Source organism: Homo sapiens, chromosome 15 (genome assembly GCF_000001405.40).
Source record: "Homo sapiens chromosome 15, GRCh38.p14 Primary Assembly".
NCBI classification, from domain to species: Eukaryota; Metazoa; Chordata; class Mammalia; order Primates; family Hominidae; genus Homo; species Homo sapiens.
Window position 1 is genome coordinate 88,780,696 of NC_000015.10, and position 24,702 is coordinate 88,805,397.

The following is a 24,702-nucleotide window of genomic DNA, read 5'->3' on the forward strand; positions in this document are numbered from 1 at the left end:
TAGGATGGGTACAATCAAAAAACAGAAAATAACGAGTGTTAGCAAGGATGTGAAGAAACTGAAATGCTTGTGCACTGTTGGTGAGAATATGAAATGGTGCAGCTGCTGTGGAAAACAGCATGGCTATCAAATAAGTAAAGATAAAATTGCTATGTGACCCGGCAACTCTACTTCTGGGTAAATATCCAAAATAATTAAAAGCAGGATCTCAAAGAGGTATTTTCCTACCCATATTCGTAACAGCACTATTCATAATAGCCAAGAGGTGGATGCAACCCAAGTGTCTATCCACTAATGAATGGATAACCAAATGTGGTATATAAATATGATGGAATATTATTAAGCTTAAAAAGGAAAGAAATTCTGATAAATGCTACAACATGAATGAACATTGAGGGCATCATGCTAAGTGACATAAGACAGCCACAAAAAGACCAATACTCTATGATTCCATTTATGTGAAGTACCTAGGGTAGTCAGATTCATAGAGAAAATAGAGTGGTGGCTGCAGGGGCTGGGGAAAGCGGTGGGGGGAAATAAATGTTGCTTAATGGGTACAGAGTTTCCATTTTGCAAGAGGAAAAGTTCTGGAGATTGATCGCACAACACTGTGACTATACTTAAAACTACTGAACTGTATGTTCAGAAATGGTTAAGATGGTAAATTTTATGTTCACATTTTTATCACAATTTTAAAGACAAACAGGACAAAGGAGTAGTTATCCAACTCAAAAGGAAGCTCAAAAGAAATATCTAGACTAGAGATGAAATATGTGCAAAACCTAGGACTCAGTAATTATTAGTGTTCAGGGCTGGGCATGGTGGCTCACGCCTGTAATCCCAGCACTTTGGGAGGCAAAGGTGGGAAGATCCCTTGAGCACAGAAATTCAAGATCAGCCTGGGCAACATGGCAAAACCCCATCTCTACAAAAATTATGAAAATATTAGCCAGGTATGGTGGCGTGTGCCTATAGTTCCAGCTACTCAGGAGGCTGAGGTGGGAGGATCACCAGAGCCTGGGGAGGTTGAGGCTGCAGTGAGCTATGACCATGCCACTGCACTCCAGCCTGGGCAACAGAGCGAGACACTGTCTCAAAAAAATAAAATAAAGTAAAATAATTAAGATTCAGGGTGTAAATAGCTATGAACAGAAAAATAAAGGCACCTAGGACCTAGCCTAGAAAATGTCTATATTTAATGGCTTGTGAGAAAAGAATGAGTCCACAAAAGCAACTAAGGAAGAGTGGGCACGGAGTTAAAGGGAAACTGGGAGAGAGCCAAAGGAGGGAGCTTTGGAGTGGTCATCTGTGCCTCATGCTGCTGAGAGGTCAAGAGGGCAGGCAAACAAAGAGTGAAAAATCCATCAGATTTAGTAACTCAGAAGTTACAAGCAGCATCAGCCAGAGCTGTTTCAATAGAATGATGGAGATGAGAGCCAGTGGATGAATATACAAAAGAGAGAGAGGTCATGAGTGTGAGGTTCTGAGACTACACAGAAGGGGAAGGTGGAGGCACCCCAGTGAGGTGGAGAATTAGCCTGGGAGGGAAGGACAGAGGCTCCACTATGGTAACAGAAAGGTGAAGGAGAGGATGAGTGAGGGCACAGGTGGGTTTGGAAGTTGCAGAATTGTAATCTACAGCCTCAAATCTCCCTACAAAATATAGGAGGAGTGCAGGAGTTCAGGGGGCTGGCGAAAGTGTTATTGGAATAATAGTCTAGGTAAGAGGGAAGGAGAGGGCTGAAAGATAGGAAAAGGCAGAGATCCCAATGAGGGTATAGAATAGGGCCTAAAAGTGGGCTGAAGGGGAAGTGGCTGTGGTCAAAAAGCAGGGTGCCTGCGTTCGGAATTTGTGGGGTGGTGTGGACTCAGGAGGATGAGCCCAACGTGAGAATCAGGCCGTGAGTGGTGAGATGGGCACAGGAAAAGCCTCCAGCGTGGTGCCCCCAGAAGAACCAGACTTCCCGAGTCACAGTCCAGTGTACTTCCCTGTTCCACCAGATGTCACCAATCCTGCAACATCGTGACAGCGTGCTGATCACTGAAAGCACAGAGCCAAACACATCCAATGCCCTCTGCATCCTGTTCCCCTGCCTGAGGGAGTATATTTTGCACCCAAAGGTGATGATCCTAGGACCTAACACTGGAAGAGTATCAGTCAGGGCTGGAGTACACATTTAAAGCAAGCAATGATACCCCTCTAATTTTAAACACAGAAAAAGAAATGGAGAAAGAAATGTTCTTTCCAGGAAGGCAAGACTACTAAGATTGGTTTTAGACCCTCCCACTCTGCCTCACCTCATCTCACTGATGTTGGCCTCTTTAGAACAGTCGCTCTCAAACTTAGCAGCATGTGGGAATCACCTAGGGAGCTTTGAAAATCATGCAGCCTGGGTCCCACATCTAGAGATTCTGGTTGAGCTGGTCTGGGGTGCAGCCGGGGCATCAAGGGCTCCAAAAGCTCTCCAGGTGTTGCGTATGTGCAAGCCAGGGCTGAGAACCACTATTTCAGGGCCGTTTCTGAGCAGGAGCAGCTGCTTCTCCCAACATTCAGTCTACACCCACTTCCAAGGCCAAAAGGCAGTTTCAGGGGTCTCTGGGCCATTTTGGAGGAGAACAACAAAGTTCCCCTCTCCTTACAGAACTGCAAGGCTCTAGCCCAGGCCAGAAAGAAAGCCATCAAAAGCTGAGCTGGGTTAACACCTCTCGGGCCTGGGTGCTTTGGCCATTTAGCTGGGCTTGCACATTTTGAGCAATCACGCTGCACAACATTCCCAGAAGCACTGATCAGGTGAAGGAGGGCAGGGAAGAAAGGCCAAATGACTTCAGGTGTGGTGTGAAATTGGGCATGAGGAACAGTCAATCCTATGAGGAGAAGCAACCCAGACGGCAAACAAACAGGGCAAGGTGGACTGAGACCAAGTTATGCGGACAGCTCAGCGGTCACTGAACTCCAACAGAGCCCACAGAGCTGCCACCTCTGTACCTCCAGACACCAAAACTTTCCACTAGGGACAGGGCATCTGGAGGCAGTGTGAAGTGGCTGTCCCAAGACAAAGCCAGTAAATTCACAACAGTAGGGACTTAACATGCAGTCTTAACCTCACGCTCACAGTCCAACCAGCATGGGAGTGTAGCCAGGTCTCATGGGGATGTTTGTAGGACAAAGAGAGGCACCCTTAGATCCACAAACTGCAGCAGCCATAATGACAGCTAGGACCACAAAATTTACCCACTCTGCCCCTAAAGCTCTCCCAACCCTCATCTGCGCCCCACACCTGGGGCTGCAATGGCCGATTGGTTTATCTACCTGACTCTACTAATCCCTGTTGACTGTGGTATCTCAGAGCCCAACAGAAGTGTTTGTCATTATGTGTCTAATGAACACATGAATGAAAATAGGAGATGTGTCCACTGTTCTTAAGCAAAGAATCACCAGCTCTTAGTCTCCTAGGAAGTTTTGTTTTTTCAAAATATACAAGTTTGCGGGCTTAACTGGGACACTTTAAGTCAGGTGCTTTGAAGGTGAGGCCCTTGCATTAGGGTATTATTAATCATATTCTCATTAAGAACCACAGCTCTGCAATCAGAAGTTCTCTTACTTTAGCAGGCATAAGAATCACCAGAGGTGCTTAGTAAAAATGCAGATCTAAGCAACAAATGATTTGGAAAAAGAAATCTCAAAAGTAATACTATCCAATAGCATCAAAAAAATGTGATCCTTTGAGAGATGAGTGGATAAATAAAATGTGGTGCATACATACCATGGAATATTATTGAGGAAAAAGATTCTGACACATGCTACAATACAGATGAACATGATGTAGCTAGAGAGTCAGATTCACAGACAAAAGGTAGAATGGTGGTTGCCAGAGGCTGGAAGAATGGAGAGTTATTGTTTAATGAATATAGAGTTTCGGTTTTGCAAGAAAAAGTTCTGGAGATGGATGATAGTGATGGTTTCACAACAATGTGAATGTACTTGCTGCCACTGGGCTGTACATTAAGAATGGTCAAAATGATAAACTTTATGCTATGTATATTTTACCAAAATGTTTTAAAATAAATATTTTTAGGGATATATTTAACAAAAGACAGATAAGAACTGTTGTTCTGACTGCCTCCTATTTACCCTGTTAGTGAGAGAAGGATCCCTGGCCCTAAAGAGTATGACATGGTTGGGCCGGGTGCGATGACTCACGCCTGTAATCCCAGCACTCTGGGAGGCTGAGGCAGGCGGATCATGAGGTCAGGAGATCGAGACCATCCTGGCTAACATGGTGAAACCCCGTCTCTACTAAAAAATACAAAAAAATTAGCCAGGCGTGGTGGTGGGTGCCTGTAGTCCCAGCTACTCGGGAGGCTGAGGCAGGAGAATGGCGTGAACCCAGGAGGTGGAGCTTGCAGTGAGCCGAGATCGCACCACTGCACTCCAGCCTGGGCTTCATCCCCCAGAGCGAGACTTCATCACCCCCAACTCAAAAAAAAAAAAAAAAAGTATGAGATGGTTAAACACGCAACACCCAATACTGAACAGATGAGATGACAGCAATTTTTTAGTCATATAGACTCACAGCCCAGGAGAGAAGGACACCACATGCCATGCAGGGGCATGCAGGGGTGACACTTGGAATCAGAGAGAACCAGCAGGGGCTGTGGGAGGCAGGCTTTATAGCAAGGAAGATGAGATACCCGCTGGTCCCCACAGGAGGATGTGATTGATTTGTTTGAACAAGTCCACCGGCTGGTAGGGAACTGAAGCCTGTTAGGTTGAGGATCTGGTGGGGTGCAGCTGGTCTGGCTGATCTAGCAGGGGAAGCTGGCCAGGTAGGGAGTCTTTCCTGCTGGGTGGGGTGGGAGGCATAGCTGGTAGAGCAAGGGAACTCATGGTTAGGACTTTGAGGCCCTGTGAGGCTGAAGATATCAAGGCAACATTTGAAATTTTAGGTCATACAATATGTCTATACTCTGAAAACTTCAAAACACTGCTAAGAATTTTTTAAAAAACAAACCTAAACAAATAGAGAGATATATCATATTTGTTAAAATGTCCATTTTCCCAAATGTATTCAACTCAATCCCAATCAAAATCTCAGAAGGCATTTTGTAGAAACTGTTAAGCGAATTTAAAAATTTATATACAAATATATGTTCAAAACAATTTTGGAAAAGAACTTACCCTACTTATTTTGAGACAAACTATAAAATACAAACCTACAACAATCAAGAGAGTGTGTTATTGGTATAAGGATAGACATTAATAGAACAGAATAGACAGTCCAGAAACAGACCTATATCTTGATTTTCAACGATGATGCCAAGGCAATTCAATGGGGAAGAGCTAATTTTTTCCACAAATGGTACTAGAAAATTGAATATCTGTAACAAAAAAAAGAACCTTAACTCTTACCTCACACCAAACACAAAAAGTAACTCAAAATGGGTCATAGACCTAAACACAAAAAACTATAAAACTTCTCAAAGAAAACAGAAAAAAATTTGTGACCTTGATGTCACAAAAATAAATCTTTATGGCATTGATTTTCTAGGTAGGAACAAAAAACCCCACTAATTATAAAGGGAAATAGATGAAAGTCTGAATGTTATCAGAATTAAAGACTTCTCTTTAAAATTCACTATTAAGAAAATAAAAAGGAGAACCACACACTCAGAGAAAGTATTTGCAATACTCGTAGTCAATAAAGAACTTGTATCCAAAATATAAGAAGAGCTCTTAAAGATCAACAAGAAGATAAGCAATGTACCCCCTCTCCCCAACACACACACAGCTAGCAAAAGATTTTAACAAATATTTCAATAAGAAGATATACAAATGGCCAATAAGTACACCAAAAGATGCTCAACACCATTAGTCATTAGGAAAAGAAATTAAAACCACATAAGGGCACTTATGATGGCATTTAGGGCCTACCTGGATAGTCTAGAATTATCTCCTCATCTCAAAATCCTCAATACATTCAAGTAACCAAAATTTAAAAGACTGACAAAATCAAGTATTGCTGAGAACGTGAAGTAAATGCAAAATGGTACAATTGCTTTGGAAAACTATTTGGTAGTTTCTTACTAAAATATTAAATTAAACATATACTTATCATATAAACCAACAATCACCAAAGAGAAATAAAAATACACACACATACACACACACACACACACACAACTTGTTCATAACAGCTTTATTCATAATAGCCTGAATCTGGACATAATTCAAATATCCATCAACAGGTGAAATCAGTAAGTGAATTGTGATATCCATACAATGAAATACTACTCAGTAATTTAAAAATGAACTATAGATACATATAATATGGAAGAATATTAAAATCCAGCCGAGGAAAAGAAATTAGATGCAGGAAATACAGTACATGCATACAGTATGTATTAGCTTCCTGGGGCTGCTGTGACAACCACACTGTTATTGGCTAAAAACAACAGGAATTTATTCTCTCCATTCTAGAGGCCAGAAGTCCAAAATCAAGGTGTCAGCAGGGCCACATTGCTTCTGGAGGCTGTGGAGGAGAACCTGTTCTTTGCCTCTTCCGACTTCTGGTGGCTGCAGCCTTCCTTGGCATTCCTTAGCTTGTGGCTGCATCACTCCAGTCTCCACCTCCATCTTTACATAGCCTATCCTTTCTGTGTGTGTGGTGTTGACCCTCCCTCTACCTCTCTCTTATAAGGGCACTAATGATGGCATTTAGGGCCCACCTGGATAGTCTAGAATTATCTCCTTATCTCAAAATCCTGAATTTAATTTCACCTGCAAAGACACTTTTTTCAAAGAAGGTGACATTTACAGATTCCAGGAACAGGACATATAATCTTCGGGGCCACCATTCAACTCACTACATTGAATGATATCATTTACATGAAATTCTAGAAGGAATAAGACTAATCTGCTGTAACAAAAGGCAGTGGTTGCCTGGGGCCAAGGAGGTGGAGGTGACTGACTGCAAAATGGCATCAGGGAACTTTCTGGTGGGAAGGAAGTCCTCTATATTATGATGGTGGTGATGGTTCCATGACTGTGTAAGTTTATCAACACTCATCAAACTATACCCTTACAATGAGTGTATTTTATTATACACAAATATAATTCATTTTAAAAGAAAGCAAAAAAAAAATGTAGATTTGGGGGACCAAACTTGGAAAGTCCCATTTGACAAGTCTAGGGTGCATTTTAAATAAACAGCCCAGGTGCCTGTTCAGGAGGTGGTCCTGGAACCTCACGGGAGAAAGAGTGCTCTGGAAGTTGAAGAAAGGGCCCATCACATCTTGCTGCCTTCCCTTTGGTTCCACAAATAGCCAAGTGCCAGGTGCAGAGCTGGGGATGTCCTGCAGTGAAGTCCTGCCCACTGTAAGTTCAGGCTGTTGAAAGACATGCCCACAACTCACTCCAGCCCAACGCAGCTATGACAAGAACTGACAGGTATAGAATCACAGAGGAAGGTGAATTTTGACCCAGAGACTGGCAACAGCTCTCTGGATGGGACAGCATTCGAGCTGGGCCCTGATGATGGAGCAGGATTTTGACACATGGAACGGTCAACACCAGCTGCCTCCTGTTCATGTCCTCTTGGTCCTCCCTGAGTCCTCTGTCCTCCCCTTGGTCCTCCCTATCTGAGTCAAGCTCACTTAGGATGGCCTCTCTCCAGGCATTCTTCCCTGCCTCCTGTCTTTCTGTCTTTTGCCCATGCTGGGCCATGCCAATCCCTTCCCTAGATTCTTCATCAGCAAAGCCCCAAAAACAAGACTTGGCCTTCAGTAAGGCACCCTGGGGAGGCTACTTCTGCAGAGAACCAGGCTGGTTGTCCCTTCTCTTGACTATTCCACCCCCAGATCCCAATCCACAGCTCCAGCCAGACATTCAAATTCCAAGGACTCAACCTCTTTGACCCGATTCCTTGGTCCCTTCTGTGTCTTTTCTGACTCTGGTTTCTCTTAAACTTCTACAGAAATACAGTATATGGATATGTACTATATTTATATGATATACTTATCATATAAACTAACAATCACCCAAGAGAAATAAAAATACACACACACATGCTTGTTCATAACAGCTTTATTCATAATAGCCTGAATCTGGACATAATTCAAATATCCATCAAGTTCCACCTAGTTCTATGGGCTTTCCAGGTGGTCCCTGCCCTCCACAGCAGAGGCACACTGTTGGTGGTTAGGCCTTCTCCTATGACCTGGTTCCTCAGCCCCACCTCCATTCCCCATCCCTGGCTCTCCCTAGGCCATCACTACTCAACTCCTGAACTCACAAGGATGGAACCAGGCCAAGGCCCCAGGGCCTCTCTGGACCAAAAATGAAGCAATTTAAACCTTCTCAGACTCTGATCCCAGCACAAGTCCCTGGATTTGGTCCCATGTGCCTTGCATAAGACAGACAACTTGGAATCTCTTAGCTTTTTTCTTCCCCAACTCCCAGTAAGTAGCTCTACCACTCCCTCCTTTGCCAAATGAAGAAGGGCAGACTTCCCAGAGCTATTTACAAGCCATGAACGGCACGTTGAGCCCTGTGTACTCCAGGAATGCCTCTGGGTGGGTTTCTTTGTTCTCACAATGAGGTTCTCCATTCTTTGCCCGCATCCATCCTCATGGAGTGAGGAGAGCTCCCCATTGGTTAGATGGGTAGTTATGCCTGTACAGGGTCCCAAGATGCGAAGTTTGCAGCCTGCAGGCTCACAACCACCTCTTCGTGATGCCTCTGCCTTTTGGAAAGCTTGGTGGTCTCCAATATCTGGTCCCAGGAGACAAGGAATAAAGCTGGAAGGAGGAATGGGGCTTTCTGAGGAGCTAACAATCCTAGGACTAGGAGGAAACCTCACCCTGGCAAGCTCCCTGAACCCACCACCTTAACTGAAAGATTTCGAACTAGAACATGTCTTAAGCCCTGGTGTGGAACAGTCACAGGAAGGAGGCTGCCCTCCTCTCTTTGCCTAGACCATGGGCAAACTGGGCACTAAATGGGGCTCCACCAAAGGTCCAGGGCCCCCATCAGGGTGTGATGGGCTATTCTGGCAGCAGGGACCCAGTGATGGGGTCAGCCAGGCCTCACAGTGCACCATTATGACCCTCACATACACTGGGAATATTTGGACCCCTAAAGAAGGGAACCCAGTGACTGAAATAGCCAAGTGGAGCCCAAACCTTATTCCGCCACTGGGAAACTGACTAGAGATAGCAACTGAGGCTGTTCACAATATTTCAGCTTTTCACTAACATGACACATAGGATTGCACTTTCTCTTCCACATTAGTTGGATGAAGTCATATGGCTAGTTCCAGCCAATGAGCTCTAACCAGAAGTGTCATGTGCCACCTCTGGGCTGGAGCATTTAATTGCTGATGCATGAGCATCCAGAGTTCTCTTTCCCTGTGCCATGGCAACCAGCAGTGTTCCAGATGGTGGCTGCTCCAGTCAGCCTGTGCTGGAGTGAGGATGATGTTGACCTGGTGCAAAGCTCCCAGCCTTTTCTCTTGGCCATGAGTATGGGCAAGAATGACATCTTTGTTATTTCAAGTCACTGAGATTTGGGGGCTGTTATTACTGCAGCATAACCCAGCCTGTCCTCACTGGAATATGAGTCAAAGGCCAACCAGAGCTGCACGTGTTCAGTATCACCCAATTCCAGGGACCCCGTCTAACCTTATTTCCCTATCGCCTACTTCTGACTTTGGGTCCAAGCCATGCCTCAGTCCTAACACAACAAAAGAGAAAGGTGCCTCAGAAGCCAAACCAGTGTGGACTCCAAGTGGATGATGTTCTCTGAGCCTAAGATGCCAGCTCTTCGGGATTCAGTGGATTCCAGTGGGGGTCAGGGTGAGGGTTAGACTGCTATAGGAGGCAAAGCCCAGCTTGTCCATGGAGTCCCAGGAGTTGAGCTGTGACACAGGAACTGGTGTCTGACATCAGCCTCCAAAGTACTAGCACTTCTTGCCTGCTTCAACTAAAGACGACCAACTTGGCCTCTTCCGTGGTTTCTCTTCGGCCACGGAGAGCTCCTGCCTGTGGGTCTTCATCTGAAGTCTCCCTTGGGGCACTGTCTTCAGCCTCATGTCCCCGTGAATCCTAGTGTGACTCTAGTTCTCCCATCAACTCTCTAACTTGCTATGTCATGAAGAATGTGGCTTCTAGCCTTCTTCCTTTCTCCCAACCGTTGTGAGCTCAAGCCTCAGGCCATGGCCTTTGCCTATAGAATCATCCTTCTCTTCTGTCATTGAAACAGCTCCCAACCCCACCATCCCCTAATGGATAGAGGCTGGCTAAATATTACTAAGACCTCATCCATCCACCCGTGGAGTTCCCATGCATTCCCTACCCATTCCCATTATATACTTTACCTCATCTTTACTACATCTCAGAAAGACCAAACTTGATCTTTTCAATCAAGTGAGTAGGGAGGGGAGAAGAAATAAATGAACGTTTATGAGACCTGCAATGAGCTAGTCATTCTCCTTCACTGACTCCATGACTCATGCAGGATGGTGAGGGATTAAAGGTACAGGTTCTGGAACCGAATTGCCTGGTGTTGAGTCTCAGCTCTGCCACTTGCTAGCAGTGTGATCTTAAGCAAGCTGCTTCACCTTTCTGGACCTCTGTTTACTTTTTGTATAAAACAGCAATGTGGCCGGGCCCGGTGGCTCACGCCTGTAATCCCAGCACTTTGGGAGGCTGAGGCGGGTGGATCATGAGGTCAGGAGTTCGAGACCCAGCCTGGCCAACATTTAGAGAGCCTCGTCTCTACTAAAAATACAAAAAGTAGCCAGGCATGGTGGCGGGCGCCTGTAATCCCAGCTACTCGGGAGGCTGAGACAGAGAATTGCTTGAACCCAGGAGGCAGAGATTACAGTGAGCTGAGATTGCGCCACTGCACTCCAGCCTGGGCGACAGAGGGAGACTCCGTCTCAAAACAAAACAAAACAAAACAAACAAACAAACAAACAAAAAACCAAAAAGGAGTGATTTGTGATGGGTATTAACAAACCATCACATTGCTATGGTTACTGAATGAGTTGCTAGACATAAAGTGTATGCTAGAACAACGCCTAGCATGGTGCCCAGTGCATGTGAGTTATTATGATTCACCCACAGAGTATCTAAATGTACCAGACACAGGGCACACAAAGAGAACAAAATAGACCTATTCATTCATTCAACAAATATTCATTGAGGGACTGCATGTGTCACCCACTGTGATGGGAGCTGGGCACATGTGTCTCTGCCCTCATGAAGCTCACAATCTGGTGAGGGAGGGAGGAGGACAGTAAACCAGTGAATAGCAAACTGATCTGGGCTAGGAGGGATGGAGGCACTGTAACAGAGGTTGACGGAGGCAGAGGAGAGGTGGGGGTGGGTCAGGGAAGCCTTCTGATATTTAAAGGACAATGTGAAGATGAGGTGGTGCTATCTGGAAAAGAGCAAGGGGAAGTGCAAGGGAGATGGGTAGGGAGATGAAGGAGATGAGGGGAGGGAGGCAGGCAGGGCCAGGTCACTCAGGCCTTATGGTTGGTGTCCTCAGTGCAACCCCAATCCACAAGGTGGTTACAAGCAGAGAAGCGACAGGATCTCATCTTACATCTTTCAATGGGCATACTGCAATTTTCCTTTCACTGAAGAGGAAACTGAGGCCCAAGCTCAAATCCCTGGTAAATGATGTGGTTGGGACTACAACAGCTCTCATCAGCCCCAGCTCAGCAAACTTGCCAGTTTACTACTTCTCACCCTCTCCTGTACAGCAGGAACGAACTCTCCAAAAGCCCTTCACCTGATCACGGGGTCGTGGTGCCTGTCTTGACTTAAACTCACACCACCATGCACAATTGAGGGTCCAGCAAAGGTTTCCATGCCAATGGCTTGTGCAAACAACACTCCCCTGCGCTCCTTCCCCACCGTTTCCATCCCCCACAACTACCGGAGTTGACACCCAAGCCAATAACCACAGGTAAACGTGTTTCTCCCTGGGACACGGAGTTAAACACACAACCACAGAGATGTGTCTCAAGTCCAGAATGGAAGGGCCAAGGTGCCAGGGATGACAAATCCTCCGGGAATCCAGCTCGAAGCTCCCCCCGGAGACACCCCTCCCCAAAATAGGCAAAGAGGGTCAGGAACACTCGTGCAAACAGCTGATCCACAAAACCCCCACTGTGCCCACGGCTTTCCCCACCTCAGCCCTTTCTATTTTTATCAGGAGAGTGAGAGGGGGTTGCCAGGCGGGGCCACGGCGCTGTTTATGTCTGAAATTTAAAAAGATGCACAGAGTACTTGAGAGAAGGCGTTGCCGCTAAAGGAATTTCGGAGGAGAATTTCAAACCCAGCAGGGTGAATAGGTGCCTTGTGTTCTGACTTTTGACTCTGGAAAAGCCGCGTTTCCAACCTTGGCATGCAGAGGGGGCAGGGATAAGGAGAAAATGCATGCGTGTGAGATTCAGACAGGGAGTGAGACCCAGCTCACCTGGGCACAGGGAAAAACTGATTTTCAGACTGGGAGTGCTTTGGGAGGAAGCCCTTCTGCCCCTCCAGTGTCATTTCTACTTATTTATGCCCCAAGTAATTCATGGACTTTTCTTGCTCTCTTAGCCTTACCTGATTAGCCCCACTCCAATCTAGCCATTCTCTACTCCATATCTGCCATCTGTCTCCAGTTTATCAGTGAGTTTTGCTGGGTATTAATTTTCTTACGTATTTGCTCATTAAGACTTTAAGAGGCAGAAAAGCTGAAGAAAAGGAGGCTATTGGACAAAAATGTCCAATATCTGTCCAGAATCTCACTCTGGACACACAGGCTGGGATGCAGAGGCATGATCTCTGCTTACTGCAGCCTTAACCTCCTAAGCTCAAATAATTCTCCCACCTCAGCCCCCTGAATAGCTGGGACTACAGGCATGCGCCACTACGCCTGGCTAATTTTTGTATTTTTTGTAGAGATGGGGTTTTAAGAGGCTTTAAGTCACTCTGATTTGTCAATTTTTTGCTACCTAATTACATTGTATGTGTCCCTTTGACAGCTGTATGCCTACTGTTTCTTTAACACACACACAACTTAAACCTGGTGGAGGGTTTTACTCTATAGGCAATACAGCAGGACAAATTGGTGCTATTTCTCCAACTGTGTAAAACAGGAGGCAAGAAGGGGTAACAAGAAAGTATCTTCCTGCTGAGGGAATTTCAACACATATCTCCTCTCTTTGCCTTCATCCTTCAAAGGTTAAACTGGCTCTAACGGCCCTGTACATTCCAGACCAGGCTACACAAGACCCTTATTAAGCCGGGGATCCTCAGGAAGGTTGGCGTCACTTTTAGGGGGTTGGACTTCTGACTTGATATGGGACTTCAGGGTGGACCTGATCCCCAAGTTTGTAGTTGATCTCATGTCCTTGGGTCTGGGAGTAAGCGCCAAGAAGCTCCAGCCTCACTGATGCACAGAGCTGCAAAAATGCAACTGTTTATGAAGTTCATTGGCCACAAAGTCCTAGAAGCCACAAGATGCAGCTGTCATGCAATTAAACTCCAGCTGTCTGCCCGATGAAAGTTCGTGGCTTGACAATGTCTCTATTTCTTTTTCTCTAGAACCTCCTCACACGCAGCACCTTTTCTTGGGTGTGTGAGGGTCTCTGGCATTCCCTCCCTATGTTTCTAGATCTCTCTGTTTCTCTCAGCATCCTTACATTTTTGTCCAATAGCCGCCCTTTCTTCATCTTTTCTGCCGCTTCCATTTTCTCCCTTAATTAGTAAGCAATTAAGATATATTTTAGCATTTGTTGAATACAATTTAATGCTCCATTCTTCTTCTTTTTTTTTTTTTTTTTTTTTTTTTTGAGGCAGAATCTTACCCTGTCATCCAGGCTGGAGTGCAGTAGCATGATTTCTGCTTACTGAAGCCTTGACCTCCCAAGCTCAAGTAATTCTCCAACCGCAGCACCCCCGAATAGCTGGGACTACAGGCGCACACCAACATGCCTGGCTAATTTTTGTATTTTTTGTAGAGATGGGGTTTGCCCTGTTGCCCAGGCTGGTCTCCAACTCCTGGGCTCAAGAAACCCACCCACCTCGGCCTCCCAAAGTGCTGGGATTACAGGCGAGAGTCACCACACCTGGCTTAATGCTCCATTCTTATCTTAGGTTAATAAGTTCCCTGAATTCCAGACCCACATTTCTCTGCCATTTGGCTGCCTCCCCCTGGATGTCCCTCTACCTCTAAAAACCCAACTTGTTTACAACTAAACTTTCCGTCTTTTCTCCCCAAGCCAAGCACTTCCCGCTCCATCTTTTGTCCCCAAGCCAGCTGCTTCCCAGTTCCCCACTTTCCTGTTGCTGTTGCAGCAACTCCACCTCTGTCAATCATTCAGGTTCGGAAGTTCGAGGCCATCCGTGATTCCTGTCCCTTCCTGTCCACTCTCACTGCCGTCACCATAGAATTATTTCACCACCTGCAGATGCAGTCATTGCACGTACCCTTCAATGTGTTGGCACATGCCATATTTTAAATTTTTAAATTAATCATCATCTGATTTTACACAAAAATCCAGATGTTTGGTTTCCCAAAGAAAAAATAATAACTACTGCTACTACAGAAACAACATGATGTAGCAACAGTGAGCCTGAGTTCCTGGTGCCAGCATTCAGTGGGAGCTGGGTAGTTAGTGCTGCCCTATGAATGGGACTTAAAACCTCCAGTTTGAGTGAAAGGCAGACCCAAAGGAGTACACCTGGGAAAATAACATCCAATCAAGTTCAAAAATAGACAAAATTGATCTATCAGTCAGGTCAGAATAGTGGTCGCCCTGGGGTGGGGGGATCTTCAAAGGAGCTAGAAAGTTTCTTCATATTGACCTGGGTGTGACTACAATGTTGTTCACTGAGTTGTACACTTAAGATGCACTTTATATATATCACATATTATAAAAGAAAGGAAGAGAGGGAGGGAAATGTGTTGGCACAGTGCCTAGCTTAGTCCCTGGTATGTAGTAAGTACTCAGTAAATGGTTGTTATTTTGAGATGGAGTGTTGCTCTTGTTGCCCAGGCTGGAGTGCAATGGCACGATCTTGGCTCACCGCAACCTCTGCCCCACCAGGCTCAAGCGATTCTCCCACCTCAGCCTCCTGAGTAGCTGGGATTACAGGCATGCGGCACCATGCCTGCCTAATTTCGTATTTTTAGTAGAGACGAGGGTTCTCCATGTTGGTCAGGCTGGTCTTGAACTCCTGACCTCAGGTGATCCACCCGCCTCGGCCTCCCAAAGTGCTGGGATTACAGGCTTGAGCCACCGCACCTGGCCTAAAAGTTGTAAAGTATGAAGGCTCTGGAACCAGGTGGCCTGGGTTAGATCCCTGCTTCTACTAGTTAGCAACCATTGCTAACTAGTAGAGCACTGTATTAGTCTGTTTTCACACTGCTGTAAAGAACTACCTGAGACTGGGTAACTTATGAAGAAAAGAGGTTTAATTCACTCACGGTTCTGCAGGCTCTACAGGTAGCATGACTGGGAAGGCCTCAGGAAACTTACAGTCATAGTGGAAGGCGAAGGGGAAGCAAGCACAGCTGACCATTGCAGATCAGGAGAGAGCGTGCAGGGGGAGGTGCTACACGCTTTTAAACCATCAGATCTTGTGAGAACTCACTCACTATCACGAGAACAGCCAGGGGGAAATCCACCCCCACGATCCAATCACCTTCCACCAGGTCCCTCCCCCAACACTGGGAATTACAATTCAACATGAGTTTTGGGTGGGGACACAGAGCTAAACCATATCAGGCAGCTTTCTAAACATTCCTGTCTTCAGTTTCTTCATCTGTGAAATGGAGTTAGTGAGACTCCCTACCTCATAGGGTGATTGTGAGGTCTGTTGAAGCGCATAGCACAAGGCCTGGTAGGCAGTAAGAGCTCAATAAGTGTTACCCTAAAGGGAAGAAAATCCTGACATATGCCGCAATATGACTGAACCTGGAAGACATGATGCTAAGTGACTAAGCCAATCGCAAAAAGACAAATTTGGCGCTAATCCACTTACATAAGGTACTGACAGTAGTTAAATTCATAGAGACACAAAGTAGAATGGTGGTGGCTACGGGCAGAGGGTAGGGGTAATTAGGAATTATTATTAAATGGGTACATAGTTTTCATTGCAGAAGATAAAAAAAGTTTTGAAGATGGATAGTAGTGATGATTATATAACAATGTGAATGTACTTAAAGGCACTGAACTGTATGCTTAAAATGGTTTAAATGATGAATTTTATATTATGTATATTTTACTACAATAAATAAGTAAATAAATATGGCCATAATAATGAGGCTGTGTCAGCCCATGGAGGAACTGGCATTCCATTTTTTTGAACTTGAGAATTTGAGACTAGATAGAGTACTCTCAGCATTTTGGAAATGCCTGTTGGTAATGTATTTGGTAGAAGACTATTTTAAGACTGTAATGCTAACAAGTAAATGTCCTAAGAATAAAAGGTAACCCAGCTAAGTACTGATTTTTTTCCTTACATATTCTTCATTTTCTCCCCTTAAAAAAATATGCCCTAAAAAAAAAATACAGCAATAACAACCACTAAAATGTCAGGAAGACTATTCCCCCGCACTATAATATCAAATGAGTGGCAAGTTTTGTGGGGAAAAGTCATGCCCACATCTTAGCAGATCATTTTTAAGCTATGGGGATGCTGCCTGCACCTCTTCTATTTCAATTCTAGCAAATGTTCATGAGATATCATTTCTGCTTATTTTATAAGTGTATATTCTGTATCTATACCATCATGTGTGGAAATCTGGGACAACAATTTTTCTGAATAATCTAATATTTACCACTGAAAGAAACTAAAAATATCAAGCCCAATGTGACAAAGGTTGAGAAGCCAGTCCCAAAAGACTCTAATGGCTGGAATAAGGAAAAGAATAGAGAAGAGCCAGCTACGATCTGGAGTGCGGGAGCCCCTTAGGGTTCGGGGTCAGGGAGAGAAGGTGAGCAGGATCGCATGAGCCTCAGGGGCTGGGGCTGCCAGGAAGTACAAAGCCTAAATCCTCCGACTTCTCTTCTTATTCCAGACTTGCTTGGAAAAAGCTGTTGATGATGATGATGATGATGATGGTGGTGGTGGTGGTTGTGATGATGGTGGTGGGATGGATGCTGATGATGATGGTGATACGTAACATTCCACTCAGCATCACTCACTGAGTATTCTCAATGATAAAAAAAAAAACACTAGTGAGTAATGAATAAAATGCTTGCCATAATTTCCTCTTTTATAAATGGTAGGGTTTTACTAAAAATAAGAATCTGCTATGAATTCAGAAAAAAAAAATTGAAACTGAAGCTTTAAGAGAGTTTCCTTAAACGTGCCCTTCAATTTCTATGTCTTTGGTGACACAGCACTTTCCCGTTACTGTATGTCATTATTCCACACAGACCCGTGGAGGCTTGTGAGTGTTTCATTAACTGTCTCCATGTTCTTTATTATAACATTTCCCTCCTACTTTGCCACTAGTACAGTGTTAAAGTAATAAAACAGCACTTTTCAAGTGTTCCACTAGTTCTCACTAGACTCCACTCCCTGGCCCAGTTCTGCTATAAGAAGGCTTTTCTATATCATGTTTCTATGGCCCTTTGCTTCCAAAAAGGATCACAACGTTCTCTACACATATTACATATAGTATTCATTGTTGCCACACTCCTATGAGGTGGGTATTTTTAGCTTCTTTTACAAACACAGAAAACAGCACACAGGAGAGAATGTACTTACTCAGGCACACCAAATTGTGGGGGCTAGGGGGAAGGAAGAAAATTAACCATCCTTGCACTTTGAGCCAGATCAGTTACTAGGGGCTGACATTCCATATCTTATTTTAATTCTCACAACAATTCCATAAGATAGCTCCATTTTACAGATGTGAAACCAAAATCCAGAGAGGTTAAGAAACTCACCCAAGGTTCCCATGCCAGACCTGGGATTCACATCCAGTGCTCCCGATTACACAGGGAATCTCCTTGCTCCACAGCTCTCTTTGTTGCTTGAGATACACAGGAATCCCTTTCACGGGGGCCCGCATGGAAACAGTCTTCATTTTAATTGCCTGCAAGATTAAATATCAAGCAACAGTGAGATGTAGTTCTGAAACTCAACGATGTTTGGCCATACCGGTAGGAGCAGAATATCCAAATGGTTAGAGAAAAGAGTTGTCCTGGCTCCCCTCTAATCAGTCCACACCTGGGCTTGTGCATCTAATGCCGGGCATTGCATTTTTGAGGGGCATCCACAAACAAGGTTCGCAGAGAGTGAGGAATCCAGAAGCAAACTCCAGAAGAACACTCCCTTGGGAAACAGTCAAAGACCCTGTGAGGAGAGACATGAAGGGTGATGTGAGAACCCTCCTGCACTAACTGGAGGCTGCCCCTGTTGAAATGGGGGCAGACTGTGTTGCTCTAGAGAGCAGAATTGGGCCACTCACTTGTAAAAGAGTTTGGAATGAATGCTTCAGAGGAATTCTGCAAGCACCTTATATTGGGACTTAGCAAGGTACCTTCATGGTGTCCCCATGTATGGGACAGAAATAAGCACTCCATGGTAATACAGTCAGATGGATGGGGGGACTGGCCATGCTCTATGAGTTAGTTTAATGGAGTGTAGAAGCCAGCCTCCAAGATGCCCCCAGTGATCCCCATCCCCTGGTATTCACATCCTGTATGACCCTCCCACACTAGTTCAGGGCTGGCCCTGTGTGGGACTTCCAAAGCTATGACACAGAAGCACTGCACTCCCTGTGTCACTCACTGTGGTGGAAGCCAGCTGCCATGTCATGAGGACACTCAAGCAGCTCCATCGGGAGGCCCTATGGAGATGAAATGAGGTCACTGGCCAGCAGCCAGCACCAATTCACCAATCACGTGAGCGACCCACCTTGGACATGGATCCTCAAGCCCCAGTCAAGCTTTCAGCTAACTGCAGCTGTAACTGACATCTGACTACAACTTCAAGAGCTAGTCCAGGCCAGAACTGCCTGGCGAAGTTTCTCCCAAATTCCCGATCCATAGAAACCATGAGAGATATTAAATAACTATTGTTTTAAGACACTCAGTTTTGAGGTGATTTGTTACACAGCCATTATAACTGGAATATCGGATTATGTCGTTCATTCCAGGGGGGCTGTCTCTAGTGCTCTGCTCTAGAACTCAGCCCTAATCTCCGTCCCAGGCAATATTTTTATGAGCAGCCTGAATGAAAACATAGAAGTGGCACACTAGTTAGCTTTGTAGAATGTCTGCTGCTAAGAGGAATGGCAAACACACAGAATAATAGAGTCAGAATCCAAGATGATCTGAAGTAGTAAACTGAATTAGTTAGTGTAATGTTTAAAAGAAGCAAAAATGAAGCCCCACACTTGGATTGGAAAAACCCATTGTACCAGGATAAGCCAAAGGAGATGCTAGGTGGCAGAAGCACTGTGAAAAGGAAGTCTGAGCTGGCTGCAGGCTCCAAATGAGTCATGATGAGGCTGTCATAAAAGCACATAAATGTTGGCTGCATTACCAGAAGCACAGGACCCAGGTTATTGAGGTGAGCTCTCCTCTGGACCCAATCCAAAAGGGAGAAGGGAGAGACTTGAGATCACTGATTCCAAACAGAAAGGTTTATCACGTGGCAGGAGGTCCTGGGACAGGTTAGGGTTGGGGGGATGGAAATGGGCCTGTCTTGTTCACTGCTGAATCCACAGTATTGGGCATGAGCTTCTGTGAAAGCTGAAAGCTGCCTAAATACAAGAACCACGTGAAAAAAATGGATGTGGCCTCAGAAGGGAGTCAAACTCATGGCCACATCCAAGCAGAGTCTGATGTCCTACTTGAGGGAAACATCATGGACAGGACTGACATACTCTATGGAGGGGTGTCCTTAAAGTTCTCCAAGAGCTCTTCCCAGCTCTGAGATTCTCTTATTCTGTGATTTGTGATTGAATGAGTAGAACCTGCTGAATGATGTCAGCACAGTGCTTCTCAAACTTCAGCAGGCATATACAACACGGGAGGGATCTTGTTAAAATGCAGATTGTGAGTCAGTAGGTCTGGGGAACCTGGCATTCTGCATTTTGAATAAGCTTCCAGGTGACACTGCCAGTCTATAGAACATACTCTGAGCAGCAAGAGGTTAGAAATTGCCAGTTTACAGCAGACTGCATCGGGCAGCCTGGAAAAGGCATTAGGCAACTGTAAAGTATTCTAGCAGAAGAGGAGATGACCAGCTTCAGAAATATTACACTGGAACAGAGCTCCTGAGTTGGACAGGAAGAGCCTGTGTATGCCACCAAGGGCCTTCTGACACGCATGTCCTTTGACTCTCTGAATACTGTCTTTAAAGTGTCCAAATGCGTTGCCATTATCCTGGGTTTTTTGTATCCTTTAGGGCTAGGGAGTGTGAATTCATACCAGCCTGTACTCCAATCCCATTCACTACCTTGATGGCCTCTGAGTCTTGGTTTCTTAGTGTGTAAATGGGAATGGCATCCATCTGAGAGGCTGCTGTACCAAGCAGCATCTGACACATAATAGGTGCCCAATATATGTTTCTTAGACTCATTACAAAACCAGATGATCAATAAACATTTGTTCCCTTCAATACAAAGATAAATCGCCTAATTAATATTTGCCCTTGACTTGTTCTTCATTAACCCCACCTGCCCTAGGATGAATGTTGACATGAACCCATTTTACAAATGAGAGCAATTTGTTCTCCCACAAGGCATCAGGTAAACACAGGCATGAGAATCCATGACCTCGTTGGAATTTCAGGGACTGTTTTTTTCCCAGAGGGTCATTTCTCCCTGTTCCAGGCATTGAGGCCAGTAACTATTAAGATTTCATCTCTTTTTTTTTTTTTGAGACGGAGTCTTGCTCTGTCGCCCAGCCTGGAGTGCAGTGGCGCCGTCTCAGCTCACTGCAAGCTCCGCCTCCCGGGTTCACGCCATTCTCCTGCCTCAGCCTCCTGAGTAGCTGGGACTACAGGCGCCCGCCGCCACGCCCGGCTAATTTTTTTGTATTTTTAGTAGAGATGGGGTTTCACCGTGTTAGCCAGGATGGTCTCCATCTCCTGACCTCGTGATCCGCCCGCCTCGGCCTCCCAAAGTGCTGGGATTACAGGCGTGAGCCACTGCGCCCGGCCTCATCTCATTTCTTTATCTGTGAGAGAAGCCACTATCACCCCCTAAGGGGCTTCGGTCACCAGCATTTTGTCTGTGTCCTAAATGCTTCAAGACTTACAGACCTGACTCAATACGCTCAGGTAGAAAAAGGGTGAAATCAAGAATGGCCAACCACTGGAACACTTTAGCCATTGCTCTGAGAGGTGGGTGGATAGAGTGGGCACTATGCTCCCTCCGACGGGGCTTCACTGCCCTGGACAGGGGAGAGACAGGCGGCTCACAGAGCATGTGCTGGGCCAGGGCCAGTCCCGCCCCCAGGCAGAGATGGCCAGTAAAATAACCACATAATTCCAGTGGAGTCGCCCTGGGGAAACCGAGGCACTTCAGTTCCTTTTCATCAAGGAACTGATTAAAGTGTGGTCTATTATCTCTGTAGTGGGGAGTCCCGAAAGATTCCACTTCTTCCTCTTCTTGCCCAATGAGAGGGTCAGGAAGCTTCCACCACCATCCTGACTGTGGCCACCACATCCTGGTGTGAAGCACCACCAGCTTCCTCCACAAGAACTCTGAAGGTCACCAGCCAGCTTGAGTCCTCCGAAGGTGCTGTGGCTCAACCAGCAGCCTGTGTAGCAGAGAGCACAAGACCTGGGACTCGAACTCAGTCCCACCTTCAAGAGGGATCTCCACCACTTTCTGAGCCTCAGTTTTCACATCTTTGGTTAGGGGCAGGTGGGAAGTTGCCATATTTACCTTGTTGGGCTCTTTGGAAAAATTAAATGAAATGTTAATGTATGTTACACAACGGGCTCATAGGAGGGATTCAAAAGCTGCTAGTTCTTTTTCTCCTTTTCCTGAAAACGGTATTAAAGAGTACTGTAGAGACACTGGAGAATTCCTGCTTCATATGAGATGTCCTTGGTCTCTCCCGGGGAATTTGAAGACCCAGAGACTCGCAGCTCCCCGTGAGCCTCCCCGCTGACGCCTTACCTCCCCCTCTCCACCATCCCCTGCCATCCCGGTGTACGCCACCCCCAAAAAAACTTTCAGCCAGCTCCTCGGTGAGGGTCGTTCCAAATCGTGGCCGACAGTAGCGGGCTGCACCCTCCTTAGATCGCGTCGTGGCCAGCCTCAGCTGCAGAACCCCGCCGGGCGCCCGGGAGCCCTGTCCCGCCGCGGCGGCCTCAGAGTCCGGGCACTTGGGGATTCTCTGAGGGTGCAGCCCTCCTGGGCCCCTCCGACTGCGGAGCTGCCGACCGCAATGCAGATGCGGGCCCTCCAGCCCTTCTCGCGCCGCCTTCCTCCCGCCAGCCCCGGAGCTGCCGGGTCCGCGCCGCCCCGGGGAGCGCTCCTCTCCCGCCCTGAGCGCAGGCCGGCTTCCCCATCGGCGCGCCGGTCCGGAGCCAGGGTCCAGCGCGCTCCAGACGCCTCTGCCTTCCCCTCCCCCTGTCGGCCGCCCCTCGGTCCCTGGGGGTGGGGTTTCCCTTTGCGCTCGCCCCCTCCCGCCCCCACCCCTCACGGGCCCTCCCCTCCCCCGCCCGTCCCTATGTATGTGTCACAGCGCGCCATGCCCGCCCGCCCGCCCACCTACCTCCCCGCCGCTCCAGAGGGGGCTCGCAGAGCTGAGGACGCGCGCAGCGCTGCTCAAGGTCTCTCTCTCTCAGCACCCTCGCCGGCCGGCGTCTGACGCGGGTGCCAGGGTCTCCGGGCACCTTTCAGTGTCCATTCCCTCAGCCAGCCAGGACTCCGCAACCCAGCAGTTGCCGCTGCGGCCACAGCCCGAGGGGACCTGCGGACAGGACGCCGGCAGGAGGAGGGGTGCGCAGCGCCCGCGCAGAGCGTCTCCCTCGCTACGCAGCGAGACCCGGGCCTCCCGGCCCCAGGAGCCCCCAGCTGCCTCGCCAGGTGTGTGGGACTGAAGTTCTTGGAGAAGGGAGTCCAACTCTTCAAGGTAACTGTCTCCTTCCCTCCAGAGCGAGGCTCTCCCAGGGCGCCCGGCGAGCCAGGAACGGGACTGAGACTGCACGCCCCGGGGCTGGGGGCTGCACTGCCTTGGTCTCCGCCCTAGAGCTATGTGTGCCGGGGGCGCAGCACATCCACCGGCTGCGTCCGCGGTGGAGTTGAGCAAACTTTTTGGCTGTTGCAGACTCAGTGAATGGGGCAAAGGAACACGTGAGGAGGGGCACTTGTCTCCTAGTCCGCCAGGATGAAGGAACAAGGGAGCCTTTTCTCCAAACACCTAGGTGATTTTAAATCCTAGGGTCTGGAAAGACCCATGGTTGACAGAGTAGCAGCTTCAGAGTCAAGGGAATGTGGGTTCAAATCCCCGAGGTGCTACTTTTGAGCTGGAAGGTGTGCTTCACCTTCCTGAGCCTTGGCCTGCCGTCTGTCAGCTGAGAGGGAAAAGGCCTTCGCGGGGTCTGGAAGAATAAATGAAATCATATGGACACTATGTCAGGGACACAGCGGGTCCTAAGCCGAGGCTAGATAGTCCATCCTTGGCCACTTGGCTTACTCCAGGGACCAGAGTGCCTGAAGAGTCTGCCCAGGGGAGAGTGGCAGAACCTGGGACAGAGCTACTGAACTGCCAGCAGGGGAGAGGAGAGCAGTGCCCTGAACACACGGGTGTCCAACCAAGAAGGGGCATTTCTCAAGGAAGAAAGGGGAGGGGAGTTGAGGACACACGACCACGAGCGGTTTTTCCGTCTGTGGGTTCCTCTTCAAACGAAGCCAATGCTGGTGGAGCAGGAGCCCTTTCCAACCCTGGGGCTGGGTTGGAGGCTGTCAGTATGTCAACTGAACCACACTCTGGGCAGAGCAAGCTGCGGGGGTGGGGGCTTGTCTCTGGTTGTGAGACAGGATCCAACCCAAACTTTTCCATCATTATCCTCCTTTCAGTCATGAGCTGGGTTCTGACAGGATCCTACTAGGGTTTCACCATGAAGAAGCTGGAGTTCCAGCATGTTGACTGATGTGTAAATTCTGGTTCTGTGGGGCTGGCTGCCAGGAGGAAAATACAAAGCTGAATTGGGTTAGCACGGTGTTTTGGGGTCCTGGGTGCTGCAGTGGGTGGGTGTCTGACAGTTTAGAGGGGACTCTGGACCTTGAAAATTCACCCACCTCGTCTGAAGAGGAGGGCAAGTGGACCCAGAAAGGTGCAATGAATTTCTGAAGGTTGAACTGTGACTTAGGGTCAAGGGCAGAACTAGAATCCAGGTTTTCTGAGGCCATAGTCGGTCCCTCGTCCTGATTTAAGAGTCCAGAATTCTTGGGTTCTAATCCTTATCTCTCTTTCTTGTCCTGGGTTGCCATGGACAAGGAGCAATCAGGTTGCTCATGCACCCTGGGCAAGGTGGGTTTGGAGGCACTATGAAGATACGGTTTAGGAGTGTTGGCTTGTCAATCACAGGCTCCAGGGAGAAACTGCAGGAAATGGAAAGGCAATGGGGAAGAAAACCCTGAAGCTCGTTGGGGGAGGAAGCATTGAGCGGCAGTGGGGAGGAGAGGTTCTAACCTGAAAGAAAGATTGCAGAATAGTA

The 24,702-nt window shown here is 47.0% G+C and overlaps 1 protein-coding gene and 1 long non-coding RNA gene across 12 annotated transcripts in view; one reads left to right on the top strand and one right to left on the bottom strand.

Annotated features, from left to right (window-relative positions):
* Positions 1 to 15,453: 15,453 nt before the first annotated feature.
* LOC105370960 (uncharacterized) lies at positions 15,454 to 22,823 on the bottom strand. Of its 3 annotated transcripts, none has more exons than XR_932593.3 (3): positions 18,244 to 18,365; positions 17,961 to 18,109; positions 15,454 to 17,218 (listed from the first exon to the last, which is right to left on the bottom strand). It is a non-coding gene; the product is annotated as an uncharacterized LOC105370960 (long non-coding RNA). The 3 variants fall into 3 exon arrangements; XR_001751648.1 differs by lacking the exon at positions 18,244 to 18,365 and adding an exon at positions 22,755 to 22,823 and having other exon boundaries at positions 15,767 to 17,209; XR_932592.2 differs by having other exon boundaries at positions 15,767 to 17,209.
* Positions 22,741 to 24,702, top strand: part of ACAN (aggrecan) — a 71,918-nt gene continuing 69,956 nt past the window's right edge. For all 9 annotated transcript variants that reach the window (NM_001369268.1, NM_013227.4, NM_001411097.1 and 6 more), the window contains exon 1: positions 22,741 to 23,114. The gene's annotated coding sequence lies outside the window, so the exon portion shown is untranslated. The remainder of the gene's footprint in view (positions 23,115 to 24,702) is intronic.